Source organism: Homo sapiens, chromosome X (assembly GCF_000001405.40).
Source record: "Homo sapiens chromosome X, GRCh38.p14 Primary Assembly".
Classification (NCBI taxonomy): Eukaryota; Metazoa; Chordata; class Mammalia; order Primates; family Hominidae; genus Homo; species Homo sapiens.
In genome coordinates this window covers 129,824,742-129,840,647 of record NC_000023.11, presented here as the reverse complement: position 1 = coordinate 129,840,647, position 15,906 = coordinate 129,824,742, and the positions used below count along the sequence as shown (strand labels likewise).

General features: G+C 43.5%; 1 protein-coding gene across 4 annotated transcripts in view; it reads left to right on the top strand.

The window, feature by feature from the left end:
• ZDHHC9 (zDHHC palmitoyltransferase 9) overlaps nt 1-15,906 on the top strand; it is a 40,599-nt gene that overhangs the window by 3,239 nt on the left and 21,454 nt on the right. For all 4 annotated transcript variants that reach the window (NM_016032.4, NM_001008222.3, XM_047442151.1 and 1 more), the window contains one exon: nt 11,507-11,667. In NM_016032.4, the coding sequence (NP_057116.2) occupies nt 11,507-11,667 (161 nt within the window). The remainder of the gene's footprint in view (nt 1-11,506; nt 11,668-15,906) is intronic.

Genomic DNA, 15,906 nt, shown 5'->3' with positions numbered 1-15,906 from the left:
TCAGAGGAACTCTTTGTTAAAGGTCCTTTTGCTGCTGCCGCCGCTACTGCTGACTTTGTGAAGTGTTTAGTGAAGTCAGGCAGGTTGCTGAAGGCTTCTTATTTGCTTTCCAGTTTGAGTTTCCTGAATGAGTGTGTGTGTGTGCATATGTGCACGCACGTGCTTGTGTGTGGTACCAGTGAGCATGTGTAGTCAGGCAGGCATAAGCCCCTAGCATTAAAAATTGTTTTTCCTTCTCCTCACCCTTCTCTCCAAGTATTCCTTGCCTCATTCCTGTCCTGCTTCTTCTTGGAAGTGCAAAGCTGACATCTGTTCTTTATCATTCTTCCTCTCTTTTTCTCTTTTTGTCCCCACCCCCACCTCCAGGTTAAATTTTTATTACAACTATTCCAAACAGAGATGAGCCTTGTTCCCAGGCTTTGAGTTAGTTGGTAGTTCTGGGCCCAGGAAACCTCTGGTTTGACTGGCCAGGGGTACTTGAAATTTGGAGGTATTGCCATTTGTCCCCTTTTGTATCTGGGAGCCAGCAGAAGAATCTGACTGGAATCTGTTCCACTGAGGCCCCTGCAGGCCTCTGAAGAAAACCGCTGGTGGGATGAAGCTTCTAATTAGCCAAGTTACCATTTGACAGAGGCAGGTTGAGTTTTCTACCATGATGACTTCCCCCCGCCCCAGGTTATTTCTTGCATTTTGAAGGGTGAGGTTATTTGTAAAACTTACTTGAGTACCAGCTGTCTGTGTGAAAGACTAAATATTTTTGAAGATAGGGCTGGAGGAGGGAGTAGTGGGAAGAAGAGGGGAGAAGGAAGTAAATGTGTTAGCAGAGGAGTGGAGGGGGGAGGTGGAAATGTGACCACAGAGGAGAGGACCCTGGTGATGAATACTTTGTACATGTGTGGATGTGCGTGCTTGTGTATGTGTGTGTGTGTCTGTCATATACAGACACATAGACACTTTAGGTGGTGGCTGCCTTGTGCCTAGCCAGTGACAGGTTGTACAAGGTACACCAGCATGCCTCTGAGGAATGAAATCTCCTTCTGGTCGGCCTTTTTCTTTGGCATCTATAATTTCCTGTCCACCACATAGTGGGGGCAGGGTTTGGGGAGCAGAATGTGGGCTGCTTTGTTAGTATTAGGACTTAGCGCAGTGGCTCATGCCTGTAATCCCAGCACTTGGGGAGGCCGAGGCAGGCAGATCACTTGAGGTCAGGAGTTCGAGACCAGCCTGGCCAACATGGTAAAACCCCCGTCTCTACTAAAAATACAAAAATTAGCCCCGTGTGGCTGTTGTGCGCCTGTAGTCCCAGCTACTCGGAAGGCTGAGGCAGGAGAATCCCTTGCACCTGGGAGGCGGAGGTTGCAGTGAGCTGAGATCTTAGCCTGGATGACAGAGTGAGACTCTGTCTTAAAAAAAAAAAAAAAAAAGAACTTAGTGAGGCCTCAGGAAATCAGTTGATCTAGCCCCCTGCCTTCAGGCAGGTGAGGGTGTCTGAATAGACAAATGGTGATCTATTTTCATTCTTACATTGTCTAGGAGTAGAGACTCCACATCCTCTGGCTGCTGTATTTTTACCTTGTGGGAAGATAGTCCAAATCTTGAGGCACATCTGGAGCTGCATTTTAGTAGCAGGGTCCTGCTTGCAGCAGGTGCTTAGGAACAAGTGTGAGTTGATTTATAGCTGCCTGCAGCACAGCTCTGGGCCAGCCAGATGGCTTGAGAAGTCTGGTCAGGCATGTGGGTGCCCCTTAATGAAAAACGCATAATGTTAGCAGTGCTGGCAGATGTCCTTTTATTTTTGGATTATGCCTTTACATATCTTCTAGAAGACTTTTCAAATGAGTGACCTGTAATTTTCAGTGGACACATAGTAGATTGAATACATAAAACAAAAAAAGTTGTCCATCCTGGGGCCAGTTAGCTCTGTATTGTTAGAGTGTTTCTTTTTTTTTTTAATTATTTTTTATTTTTTATTTATTTTTTGAGACAGGGCCTTGCCCCATCACCCAGGCTGGAGTGCAGTGGCATGATCTCTGCTTTTGCAACCTCTGCCTCCCGGGTTCAAGCACTTCTCCTGCCTCAGCCTCCCGAGTAGCTGGGATTACAGACACCTGCCAAATACAAATAATTTTTGTATTTTCAGTAGAGACAGGGTTTCACCATGTTGGCCAGGCTTGTCTCGAACTCCTGACCTCAAGTTATCCACCTGCCTCAGCCTCCCCAAGTGCTGGGATTACAGGCATGAGCCACTGCGCCCGGCCTGTTAGAGGTGTTTCTGAAGAAGCCGGGGGGTCTCTCTCGGGCCGCTGTCACCGAGTAGAAATTTGGCCAAATATTCACTAAGCCTCTTGCAACTCCAAGAACCTGAAATTCTGTATAACTCTGTGTCTGTCTGGAAGACTCAAATACACACAAAAGGAGATTATAGATTACCAGTAGGTTGCTATATTTAAATATAATTGTATTCATGGTAAACGTATTTAAGTTTAAAAGCAGAGTGAAAAATGGTATAATGCTTAAAGAAAAAGGATTTTCTAATTAATTCTTAGGGTGAGGTATTTAAGAAATGTGAGTGTGTATTGCTAGTTTCAGCTTTGAGCACATGAACAATTTTCAGTTCTTTCTGCTTAAGCTCTATCCAGCTTGTGCGATGAACACATAGCTACCAGCTTGGCCTGAAGTGTTAGGACACTGTAGCAGAATGCCACTGACAACCTAGGAGACATCCAGCTACTGAAAGGCTATCGTGGTATTCAGTCAAATTCAACTTCCTGATAAAGTGTGATCCTGGAGAAAGGAACAAGTGCACTGTCTCCTGGAATTGGCTTCCAGCTTTCTCTTTTAGCTTTCTGACCTGGCCACTAGTGGGATCAAGGTCCTCAGACTTCTCTTGTGGCAAGAATGACTATGAGACTCTTGACCCCTGAAGCAGAAGCAGTTTGCTGCTATAATCAGTGCTTATGGTCTCACTGTGTCCTCTGTATATGAAGGAAATCTTATCAAGGCACTGTCAGACCAGGTTCTGTCAGGTTGGTCCCCATTAGAGCTTTTGATGTATATATTGGCAGAAGAGTCATTGAATTGGATGAACTGAAAACAGCTTTGTAACACTGCTTAGTAATCAATAGTAATCAATACAAACAATACTTTTCTAGCCTATCCAAATTCTACCCCTCTTTCAAATTCTTTCTTGAGTCTTTCTTCATGAAAACTTTCCAGTAATTTCTGCATTCATTGGGCTAATTGTACACACCGCTCATTCAACAGATAATCACATGACATTTCTTATAGTTTGGAGCTATATGGTGATTACACTTCTCACTGTTGTTGTCCCCCGCAGCTAGTCTCTTTCAAGGTCAGAGACTATGTTCAATGGCTGTGTAGCCCCCACAGTGCTCTCTACCATGCCTTACATAGAGTAGATGGCCAATAAGTGTTGCTGAATTAAAACATTCTAGATGTACTTAAAATTTAACAATCTTGACCCACAGAATCATAGGATGGTAGATCTGGAAAGGGCTTTGGAGACTATCTCCCTCCTTGTGTGGGGTGAGGAAACCAGGCCCACAGAAGTGAGTTTCCTTTATCAAGATGAGTTGACCAGCCAACGTCTCTATACTGACTCAGGGCTTTTTCTTCTAATTTCGACATTTTATCTCATTGTTCATTGTTACCCTTTGGCTATGGAATCCTGAAGATATTCAAACACACATGCTTTAGTAAAGTGTACATAGTACCAAATACTAGGCCAGCATATTCCAGATTCTTGCGAGCTAGTGTGTGTGTTACCCAGTGGCATCTAGGCTCTTTGGGTCTCCCAAGCTTATGCTCCTAGAAAATGAAGGCATCTTTGCAGAGAACTGATGGTATTGCAGCATGGCATTTCTGGTAGCCTTGCAGGAACAGGGAAGCCTATCAGGAGCTTTGTGAGTTAACAAGGGATCATCACTGCTGTGGCCACTCCTGGTCCCTGCTGCCAAGATGAGGATGGCTTGGAGAAAAATCAAGCAATGTGTGCTCTGTACATTGTTACTTAGTGACTTATCCTGATGAAAGGGGCAGTGTGGGCTGGGCGCAGTGGCTCATGCCTGTAATCCCAGCACTTTGGGATGCTGAGGCAGGTGGATCACTTGAGGTCAGGAGTTCGAGACCAGCCGGGCCAACATGGTGAAACCCTGTCTCTACTAAAAGTACAAAAAGTCAGCTGGGCTTGGTGGTGCACACCTGTATTCCCAGCTACTTGGGAGGCTGAGGCAGGAGAATCACTTGAACTTGGGAGGCGGAGGTTGCAGTGAGCCGAGATTGTGCCATTGCACTCCAGCCTGGGCAACAAAACAAGAACAAAACTCCATCTAAATAAATAAATAAATAAATAAAATAGAAAAAAGAAAGAGGAGGTGTGTCTGGCAGACAGGTGAAATAGAAAAAGCAGACCTGATAATATGAACTTACTAGGTTTGAGGAGACACAAGACTATGTAGACCAAAGCCAAACTTTGACATACCAGAATGTTAGTGCCCACAGTGACAAGGTCCAGGTTCCTGAAGAGCATCCTTATGTGAGATTGGGAAGAGGAAAAAGTGACTATATTGTGCTCTGTAACCAAGAGTGCATTCTCTGGGGAATGACTCTATGGAGGTCAGTCTTGGCTTTATCTAGCTTCGGATTCTGTCTGTGACTTGACTAACCAAATGAGTTTTAGAAAGGCATAGTTGCCTCTTTGGTATCAATCTGTTACAGTACTTAGCTAAACTTAACTTCCTGATGAAGTATGTTCCTTGAGAGAGAGTTCTTCCCAAGAGTTCCTTGGGTTGTATCTCCTGAACAGTTTGCTTTCTTTTTCTTTTCTTTTTCTTTTTTTTTCTTTGAGACGGAGTTTCATTCTTGTTGCCCAGGCTGGAGTGCAATGGCACAATCTCGGCTCACTGCAACCTCCGCCTCCCGGGTTCAAGCGATTCTCCTGCCTCAGCCTCCTGAGTAGCTGGGATTACAGGCATGCGCCACCACGCCTTGCTAATTTTGTATTTTTTAGTAGAGACAGAGTTTCTCCGTGTTGGCCAGGCTGGTCTCGAACTCCTGACTTCAGGTGATCCGCCCGCCTCTGCCTCCCAAAGTGCTGGGATTACAGGCGTGAGCTACTGCACCTGGCGGCAGTTTGCTTTCTTTTAATAATTCTTTTTTTTCCTCTTTTTTTTTTTTTTTTTGAGATAGGGTCTCCCTCTCTTGCCTAGGCTGGAGTGCAGTGGTGTGATCTTGGCTCACTGCATCCTCTGCCTCCTGGGCTTAAACAGTCCTCCCACCTCAGCCTCCCAAGTATCTGGGACTACAGGAGTGAGCCACTATGCCTGACTAAGTTTTGTATTTTTTGTAGAGACAGGATCTCACCATCTTGCCCAGGCTGGTCTTGAACTCCTGAGCTCAAGTGATCCAACAGCCTTGGCCTCCCAAAGTGCTGGGATTACAGGTGTAAGCCACCATGCCTGGCTCCTTTAATAATTCTTTATGGTTCTGTCATTCAGAATTTCTCTACATTTTCAGCCTCTATTTCCTTTTGTGGTAATGAGTTTCACATTTTCAGTCTCCACTGAATGCCTCTCCCATCTTTTGAGGATGAGTCTTAATTAAATATAGTGATCCTCTGTTTTGGGAAAAGCAAGCCCAGAGAACAGGGATGTTCCCCAACATGCTGACATCAGTTGAGATGTTATTGAGGGAAAGAAGAGACTCCTAAATCTTTCTCCTCAGAGATGCTGGTGCTGGTATTGTGCTTAAGAACAAAGGAGGTACCTTAGGCTATTTGCAGTAGCAAGAAGCTAGCTAATTCAGGGTAATTAATTAGTGGGATGTTTCTGGAATGGAGTGGGGAAGACAGGGCCCCTATGATGATGATTAGATAAGGCCAGTTAATGGAGAGCCTTGGAATACTGACCTGTGGAGTTTGGGGCATAATATAATAGGCAGCAGTGAATGGTTCTAAGTTCTCGAGCAGGGGTATATTGTAACTGAAATTTGAACTTTGTTATTATAACTGAAATTTGGAAACTACTGAGCGGGTTTACCTGGATAGAGATTTTGATGAGAGGATGGCTTCTCACTTCAGAATTGAAAGTGTCCCTGTTTGGTTAATTTTCTTTATTGCTACTGGAGCAAAAGAGGGTTGTGCATTTTTCTCTGACCTTCACATAGAAGTAAATCTGGAGGCTGATTGTAAATTATGTTTTTAGTGTTAAGGGAAACTTCCCCTCTCAGCAGACTCTGAGGGTCATCAGAAGAATCTTGAAACAGTCTTAATGGGTGGTTCTACATGTTTATTGTCTTCTAGAGGTAGTGTCTTAGTCTGTTCTGGCTGCTGTAAGAAACTACCATCGACTGGGTGGCTTATAAACAACAGAAATTTGTGTCTCATAGTTCTGGAGGCTGGCAAGTACAAGATCAAGATGCCTGCAGGTTTGGTGACTGATGAAGGCCTGCTTTCTGGTTCATAGATGGCTGTCTTCTCTCCCTTGCCAAAGGGGCAAGGGAGCTTGCCAGGATTTCTTTTATAAGGATGCTAATCCCATTCATGAGGGTGGAGCCTTAGGTGACCTAATCACCCCCCAAAGGCCCCACCTCCAAAATCCATCACATTGGATGTTAAGATTTCAACATATGAATTTTGCAGGGATACAGACATTCAGTAAGTAGCAGGTAGGTAGTAAGAGGACAGATGGCCATCCATATCAGGGAGGTATTATAGCAAAGGCTTATTTCTCCCATGTGTGACCAAAGAGTATCATGGGGCTCTGATCCTTGGGCCTTCTTCCTTAAAGCCATACTTACCAGCTGCTACTGGAGCAGTTTCAAGCAGCCAGCAGCTCCCCTACAGAGCTCTTCCCTGACCACTTACAGCCCTTAGAGGCTGAGTCACCATTCTAACACTTGATTATCGGTCATCTTATTCTTTAGCTGTTTCATATTTCAGTTATGTTTTCCCCAACAAAATTAACTCCTATTTCCCTTGTTCTTCATTTGTTAGTCCAACAAGTACTTGTTGGCTGACTGATTACATTGATAAAAGAACAAACAAACCAAAAAACATAGCAAGAAAGCTGTTAGGGAGACTTAGAAGCAGTGTATTGTACAGAACACCAATCCAAGCTGCCAATCCGTAAGGCATAGCTCTCTGTCTAGATTCTTACCCATTCTACTCATGAATCTCTTCTGAGTGTTTTCATGTGAATTGAAGTCTGTGTCATTATCATCATCCCTCCAGTGAACTAGCATGCTAGGGATGGGGGATGGGACACGACACATGAGCCCAGCCTGGCACTGATGGTTACTGCTGGTCAGTACCACCGTGCCGCCTGAGGGGACATGTGGGAGTCCAGTTGTCTAGTCCAGCTATGGTAGCCTGAGGACAGTCAAGAAGTCAGTAGAGGATGGTTTAAAATGATGATGTCTCTTCAGGTGGCAGAAATGAAGACTTAGTTGGGACATGGTTGCATTTATAAAATTCACAAGGGAGAAAAGGAACTCTAATCCCCAGGAAGGAGAAAGGCCTCTTGGTACTTTGAATACAGGAGAGTTCTGTTTTAAGAAGTATATGGATATTATTATTCCATGGAGTGATATAGGGAGTTTCAGAAACAATTAGCTTATATTCGTGGATGACAGATCTGACCTAGTCTTTTTTTTTTTTTTTTTTTTGAGGTGGAGTCTTGCTCTGTCACCAGGCTGGAGTGCAGTGGTGCAATCTCAGCTCACTGCAACCTCCGCCTCATGGGTTCAAGTGATTCTCCTGTCTCAGCTTCCCGAGTAAGCTGGGATTACAGGTGCATGCCACCACGTCCGGCTTATGTATTTATTTATTTATTTATTTATTTATTTTTGAGACGGAGTCTTGCACTGTCACCCAGGCTGGAGTGCAGTGGCACGATCTCCGCTCACTGCAAGCTCCACCTCCCGGGTTCACACCATTCTCCTGCCTCAGCCTCCCAAGTAGCTGGGACTACAGGCACCCACCACCACGCCTGGCTAATTTTTTGTATTTTTAGTAGAGACGGGGTTTCACTGTGTTAGCCAGGGTGGTCTTGATCTCCTGACCTTGTGATCCACCCACCTCAGCCTCCCAAAGTGCTGGGATTACAGGCGTGAGCCACTGCACCCGGCCTTATTTTTGTGTTTTTAGTAGAGATGGGGTTTTGCCATGTTGGCCAGGATGGTCTTGAACTCCTGACCTCAGATGATCCACCTGCCTTGACCTCCCAAAGTGCTGGGATTACAGGTGTGAGCGACTGTGCCTGGCTGATCTAATCTTTATCTAAGACAAATTAGTGATGTTTGAGGATACTCCTGACTTTGGAGGTCTATATTGGGAATTACCACCAAACTTTCACGTAGCTTATTCTTGTCAGAGACAGACTTCCAGCTTATAGCAATTATGGGATTAGTCTAGGGTGATATTTTTGAAGTATTTTTTAAATTGACAAATATTTTATATATATATATAAAGATATATATACAAAGATATATATGTATACAATATGATGTTTTGATACATCTATACATTTGGAATAGTTAAATCAAGCTAATTAACATATGTATTACCTTACATACTTATTTTTTTAATGGTGAGAACGCTTAAAATCTACTCTCCTAGCAATTTTCTGGTATACAATATAGTGTTATTAACCATAGTCCGCATGTTGGGCAATAGATCTCATGAACTTATTCTTCCTTACTGAAATTTTATGTCCTTTGACAAACATCTTCCCAATCCTCCCTTCCCAATACCCCCGGTGGGGGTATTTTTTATCATAACTTTTGAAGACAAACACTATGGGTTGTAGTTCACAATAGTCTTAGTGGCTGGCGCTCGAAGTTTCCCCTTACTCAGAGTAGAAAGGCCTGCTAGTCCCACATCTGGCTTCCCAGCCACACCCACTCACTAGAGACGACTGGCTGCCAATAGCCTCATCTCTGGAGGAGAACAATACAATAGGCCTGTTGTGTACTTGTTGACATACAGAGTGGATTGTTTTAGCAGGTGCAGAAGATGCTCTGTGTGGAGATTACAGAGACCTTTATCCTTGATGGCATAGCGTAATTCAAATCTAAGTTGTCCTTTGTCTGGCCTACAAGCAGGTGTTGGAACTGGACTTAGTTAAGCTCGGGTCCTTCTGTGCAGCGGGGCAGCATTAATTTAGAATTTTTTGCTGTTGCTCTACTCACTCTGTATGTTTTCCCTTTAATAAAAAAATTAAGCTCTCTTTGGTGGCCAATCAGATACATCTGATTTTTAAGGCTTTTGATTGGAGACTATACATCCAGGGCAGTTTGCGTCCTGGAGACATTACTTCTTTGTTTTCAAGAATGATCTTAGTGATGGGCAGTGGCCAGGAAGATTCCTATTTGCTGTTAGTGTGGTAATTTCACTTGGCTTGTTCATGAAATGAAGCCTCATGCTTTTCCTGCATCCTTTGGGTTCCTGATAAGTGGAGGTGATTTTTGCTTCTGAATTCCCTTTTTGGTTAATCTGTACCAGTGAAAAGGAGTAGTGGAAAATAGGGTAATCCACAAGCTAGTGATATGTAAGAACCTTAATTACCCTGAACTCAGCTGCCAGATCCTTCAGTTCTCCAGTTTTCCCCCAACCCTTGGCTTTTAGGAGAAGGAAGTAAATCATTAAAAAAGCAACTTAAGATGAAGGATTTTGTTAAAAATAAGCAAGCAAGCAAACACAAAAGTCACGAAAATCATCCTTCAGGTTCAGTACATATGTGCACCTTCATCAAAAACTGCTTAGTCTAATATAAAACTTGGCTTGTGTCCCCCCATGAAGTTGTGTGTGTGGCAGGGAGCTAGGGGAAGACCTCATGGGGGTTGTTCCGAAACTGCAGAGAATATATAACCAGGAGTTAAACGTTTGCTTTGAATGGCCAGTAGCTTGCTTACTTCCCATGCTGATGAGGTAAGCGTTTTTCTTAGCTTACTTTCTCTGCTCTCTCTCTGCTCCTTGCTCATCCACTTATAGTCTGCCTCCAAGTGAAAACTCTGTTTTCAAGGAGAAATGTGCCTCAGGAGGAGGAGGATAAAAATAGGTCAGCGATAACTCTCCTTACATATTCCTATTTATTTTGTTTGAAATTCAGTTCAGATCAACAAGTATTTATTGATAGCTTCTTTGTTCCCTTACTTGTATTAAAGCTCTGGGAGATACAGAATCATGGTGTTAATGTTAATAGCTAACATTTTACTTAGTGTTTAGTATTTACTGTGTGTCAAGTGCAGTTCTAAGCACTTTATTTATACTAGTGCGTTTGATCCACACAATGACCTCATCAAGCACTGTTATTATCCTCATTTTATCGATAAGGAGACTGAAGTTAACTAAGTCACCCAACTAGGAGCTGGTAGAGCCAGAATTCAAACCGGAGCATTCCCAGTCCAATAAGACTAGGTCCTTGCTCTTAGGAAGTCCAGTTGAGGGAGATGCCATCAACATACTGAGAAATAGCTAGGAAATAATGCAAGGCTCTGGAAGTGAGGACCACAGGGAGTAGAGAAGAGAGAGATTAGTGCAGCTTAGCATAAGCCTTTTGGAGGAGGTAAGAATTCTCTAAGTCTCAGATTCTTCATCTATCAAATGGGTATAGTAGGATCTATTTCATAGATTTAGTGTGAGAATTGGATGGGATAATGTAGATGAAGAGCTTAGTGCAGTGCCTGTCTTATGGAGAGCCCTCAATAAATTATAGTTGCAATGATGACAATGATATTGATGTCTCTGGCACCTGAAAGATGAGTAGAGTTGGGATATTCAGAGAGGAAGAGAAATAGCTTGCCAGATGCATTATGAGGAAAGAGGGGAGTGAACATGATGTTGGGAAGGGGTACTAAGGATAAACGATTTTCTTATTTTCTTGCTGATGGTCATTAGTCACTTATTAGCTGAGCTAATTGAGGAGACCAGAGGAATGGATGTTGCAGAGTCAGTCAACAGCCCTGAAGGTTTTCACTGGTCTTGAAGCATGCTGAGATACTCTCTGTCTGACACTGTGAACCTGCTTTCTGGTTGGTCCTCATCTTTTCTCCCTCTTCATCAAGCTCAGCTTGAATGCCAGATCAGTGGTTATGAGAAGCCCTGGACATTCCCAGAGTGAGATCAACCTGTGTTGCTTAGAAATCCAGGTTCAGTTGCTTCCCTATTCTTAGCAGGTGTGAACCTTTCCTGAGGTAGAGGAAATGTAGCTCCCAGTGGGTTGATAGGATAGATTGGACTTGGGGGTAAGAGAGTGTCCTCAAGCGTGTCTTCTGTATGTTATAGGTGGCAGCAGTCAATTATTTGTTGAGCTCCTACTATGGGTAAAGCCATATGTTAGGGGTTTGGGGTAATTCAAGAGAAGAAACATGGTCCCTGCCCTTGAGGTGCTGCTGATTCTGTTGTGGGGGCCAGATTGACATACTGGTAACAATTGGAGATCAATATAGGGTAGGTATCATTAAATGCTGAATTGCCTGCTTTCTTCAGGTGCCGCTACCTGGCTGTTCAGCTGTCTCCTGCCATCCCTGTATTTGCTGCCATGCTCTTCCTTTTCTCCATGGCTACACTGTTGAGGACCAGCTTCAGTGACCCTGGAGTGATTCCTCGGGCGCTACCAGATGAAGCAGCTTTCATAGAAATGGAGATAGGTGAGTCTTCCAACCAGCTGGCAAGCTGCTGTGTAGTGGGTGGCCCTAATCAGTAAGAGAATGGAATCATAATAGTAGTTGCAGATTAATAATCACTTCTAGCCTTTTCTCTCTGAGATCCTGAATCTGAGATCATGACTACCCCGTGAATTTAGTAATGCAGGTCTAGCAACAGTCTAAAGTCATAGACTTTGTCCTTCACTGCATTTGGTCACATTTCAGGAAGGATTTGTTACCAAGGTCCTGCTGTATTGTTCCCAGGAGGATGGTTTTTTACTTTTTTGGGGGAGGTGGTCACCAACACATTTTTTTCTGAAGCAATGAAAGCACAGATTTATTATTTATTTATTTATTTATTTAGAGACAGAGCCTGGCTCTGTTACCAGGCTGAAGTGCAGTGGCGTGATCTTGGCTCACTGCAACCTCTGACTCCCAGGTTTAAGTGATTCTCCTGCCTCAGCCTCCCGAGTAGCTGGGATTACAGTCACATGCCACCACACCCAGCTAATTTTTGTATTTTTAGTAGAGACGGGGATTTCACTGTGTTGGCCAGGATGGTCTCGATCTCCTGACCTTGTGATCCGCCCGCCTTGATCTCCCAAATTGCTGGGATTACAGGCGTGAGCCACCACACCTGGCCAGCACAAATTTATTGAAACAAAAGTACACTCCACAGAGTGGGAGGGGGCTTGAGCAAGTGGCTCAAGAGCCACTTTTTGGTTTTTTGATGAAAGCTGTAAACCTTCTCCCCATAAAAATGCTCTTATATGCATGTACATGTACACAATTTTGTATGTAATTTCAGGGATTCATAGATCTTCTGAAGTTCATTCATGTCCCCCCCAACCAAGAATTCCTGCTTTAGGCCGGGCGCTGTGGCTCACGCCTGTAATCCCAGCACTTGGGGAGGCTGAGGCGGGCAGATCACTTGAGGTCAGGAGTTCAAGACTAGCCTGGCCAACATGGTGAAGCCCTGTCTCTACTTAAAATACAAAAATTAGCCGGGCATGGTGGCATGTGCCTGTAATCCCAGCTACTCGGGAGGCTGAGGCACGAGAATCGCTTGAACCTGGGAGGCGGAGGTTGCAGTGAGCCTAGATTGCGCCACTGCACTCCAGCCTGGGCAACAGAGCGAGAGTCCATCTCAAAAAACCAAACCAAAACAAACAAACAAAAAACGCTGCTTTAGGGGAACATGCAATGTGAAAGGGGGCAGCTGTGGTGCCAGGAACCACTGAGAATTCTAGGAGGGGTAAAAGAAGCAATTGCAGGCTCAGTAGAGTGCATACTGCAGCTCAGGATAAGGATCTTTGGTACAGAGATGAAGTGCTACATTATCTAGGAGCCAGGGTGGCTTCATGATTTGAAGCAGAACCATCCCAGGGCCAGAGGAGGAGATATCCTGGGATCTCACAGTGAGAAAGAAGACTATGATGCAAGTACTAGGAGGGAGTGGGAGCCCACCAGATCAACAGCAGTGCCTACCTAAATGGTTCTCAGGTTTGGTACCCAGGTAGCTTGAGTCAGCATCCAAGCTAGACAGAGTAAGAAAAAGGGACCCAGGACTTGTAAGACTAAGAAGCTGTGCCAGTAGAGCACCAATCTGTGGCTAGCCTTTAGTTCTTTGACGGTGCTTTGAAGGCTTCCATGTATTTCTTTTTTCTTTTTCTTTCCCTCCCTCCCTCCCTCCTTCCCTCCCTCCCTCCCTCCCTTCCTTCCTTCCTTCCTTTTTCCTTCCTTTCCTTCCTTTCTTCTTTTTTATTTTTCCTTCCTTTCTTCTTTTTTATTTTTCACAGTTTCACTCTGTCCCCCACGCTGGAGTGCAGTGGCGTGATCTCAGCTCACTGCAACCCCCACCTCCCAGGTTCAAGTGATTCTCGTGCCTCAGCCTCCAGAGTAGCTGGGATTATGGGCACCCGCCACCACTCCCAGCTAATTTTTGTATTTTTAGTAGAGACGGTGTTTCACCATATTGGCCAGGCTAGTCTTGAACTCCCGACCTCAAGTTATCCTCTCACCTTGGCCTTCCAAAGTTCTGGGATTACAGGCGTAAGCCACTGCGCCCGGCCCATGTATTTCTTTTGTTTATTTTAGCTGTGTTTTCCCTTAGGCTTCTTAATGGATTTCATTTTGAAAAATTCCAGCCTGTTTTAGTTGAGCTAAGGAGAAATGGGTTTGTGCACATGTGAGCTATAACTATTTGGGGGTGGGGTGAGGGTGGGGATAGTGGGAAGAGAGCAGAGGCGACGTGTGCTGGCACAGCTGGAGTTCTGGGGAGACCCGATAGAACTAGGAGTAGTTAGGAGCAAGATGGTGAGGAAGAGTTGTGAGTGCTGTTTTTTCTCCATCTGGATTATTCTTTTCCAGTTCCCTTCCCATTCACATATGGAGAAACTGAGGGTCAAGGCAGTACCTTGACTTGTCTCCTGCCTCTCACAGCAGGTTGTTAACAAAGTTAGCTCTTTTCTGCCTGATCACTGGGCCTGGGGCTCAGACTCAAGCAGTCACATTGTGGCCTCTGCATTTAGCATGTTTCTCTCACTAGAAGAGTACATTTTTCAGTTCATATGTATGTTTATGTTAGCAAGTTTTTGTCATCTTATATTCAGTCCTGTACTGGGTATGCTGTGGGTGGGGGATGGGGAGAGAGGAAGTCATGTGATGCCCTTGCCTGATACGGCCTCCTGAGAAAGGTGAACCATGAACCCTGTCTCCCAGGTGCCCTCATGGAAAGCATATGCATAGAATATTAAGGTGGCATGCTGGTACTTATCCTCTAATGAATAGCTGTCCTCATCCTTTTAAGACTTGTGACACATTGTTATTGTTTGATTTCACAGCATCTACCCCACTCCACAAAAAAAGGAAAAATGTTCCATATGGCAGATATTTTTAAAATCAAAGTGAATTGAAAAATATTCTGTTTTTAGAATTATACTGCATGGTGAGAGTGCAATGAGACAGGCACTCTCATATGCTGCGGATGGGCAGGCATGCAAATTCATACGGTCTGTCTGGGAAGCAGTTTGGCAACAAGTAATATGGACTTTAAAGGGTCATACCCTTTGACCCAGTAGTTCTACTTCTCTGAGGGTTTAGCTAAAGGAGATAAACAGATTTTTACAAATTACTGTAGAAGGATTTTTGGTGCATCATTTTTTCTTTTCTTTTAAATATGAGTAGCTATTTTAATGCCGGCAACTTCATGTATTACTGCTTATACTTCACCATTCTTTTCTTTATTCTTTCTGTTTTAGAAATTAATTTTAACACATGAGTATGTTCTTGGAAGGGAGGAGGGGACTAGGATTGAGGTGGTGATCGAAGGAGATTTAAGCTTTTCTCTGTAATGTTTTAAATTTTTACATGAAACATCACCTAAATAGTAAAAAATCCCAACAATATGGAATATTTAAATAAATCATAGTACACGTATATGATGGAATATTGCCAGTAGTTATGTTTTAGAAAAAAAATTAACAATGAGAAAATGTTCACAGCATATAATATTAAGTAAATACTTCATGGTACAAATCTGCATTTATAATATGATCTCAATTTTTTAAAAATTATGAATGTTTACCTGTTAATAGAAGATTAGAAGGAAATACGCCAAAAAATATAAATATCTCTGAGCTGAGAGACTGACTGTCAGTGATTTTTATGTTTTCTTATTTATACTTTGTTTTTTTCCAAAAAAAATTTTTTTTTTGAGTTGGAGTCTTGCTCGCTCTGTCACCCAGGCTGCCTCCCAGGTTCAAGCGATTCTCCTGCCTCAGCCTCCAGAGTAGCTGGGATTACAGATGCGTGCCACCATGCTTGGCTAATTTTTGTATTTTTAGTAGACACGGGGTTTTGCCATGTTGGCCAGACTGGTCTCAAACTCCTGATCTCAGGTGCCCCGCCTGCCTCAGCCTCCCAAAGTGCTGGGATTACAGGCGTGAGCCACCATGCCTGGCCCTATTCTGTTTTTTTCCAAAATTTTTACAATAAGCAAGCATTACTTTTATTTCAGTAACTGTTTCTGTGTTACCAGTCTTTTCTTTTCACATGCATATATTTTGTTTGCAAGATAGTATTGTTTTATGCGTATTGCTTTTTAACATACATTTTCATTTTGCCATATATTGTATTTTCCTGTTTTCACCATTCTTTCGTCTATGTCATTTTTAACGGCTGCATAATATTCCATTCTATGCACATAACATAATTTACTTAACCACCCTTCTATTGTGACAT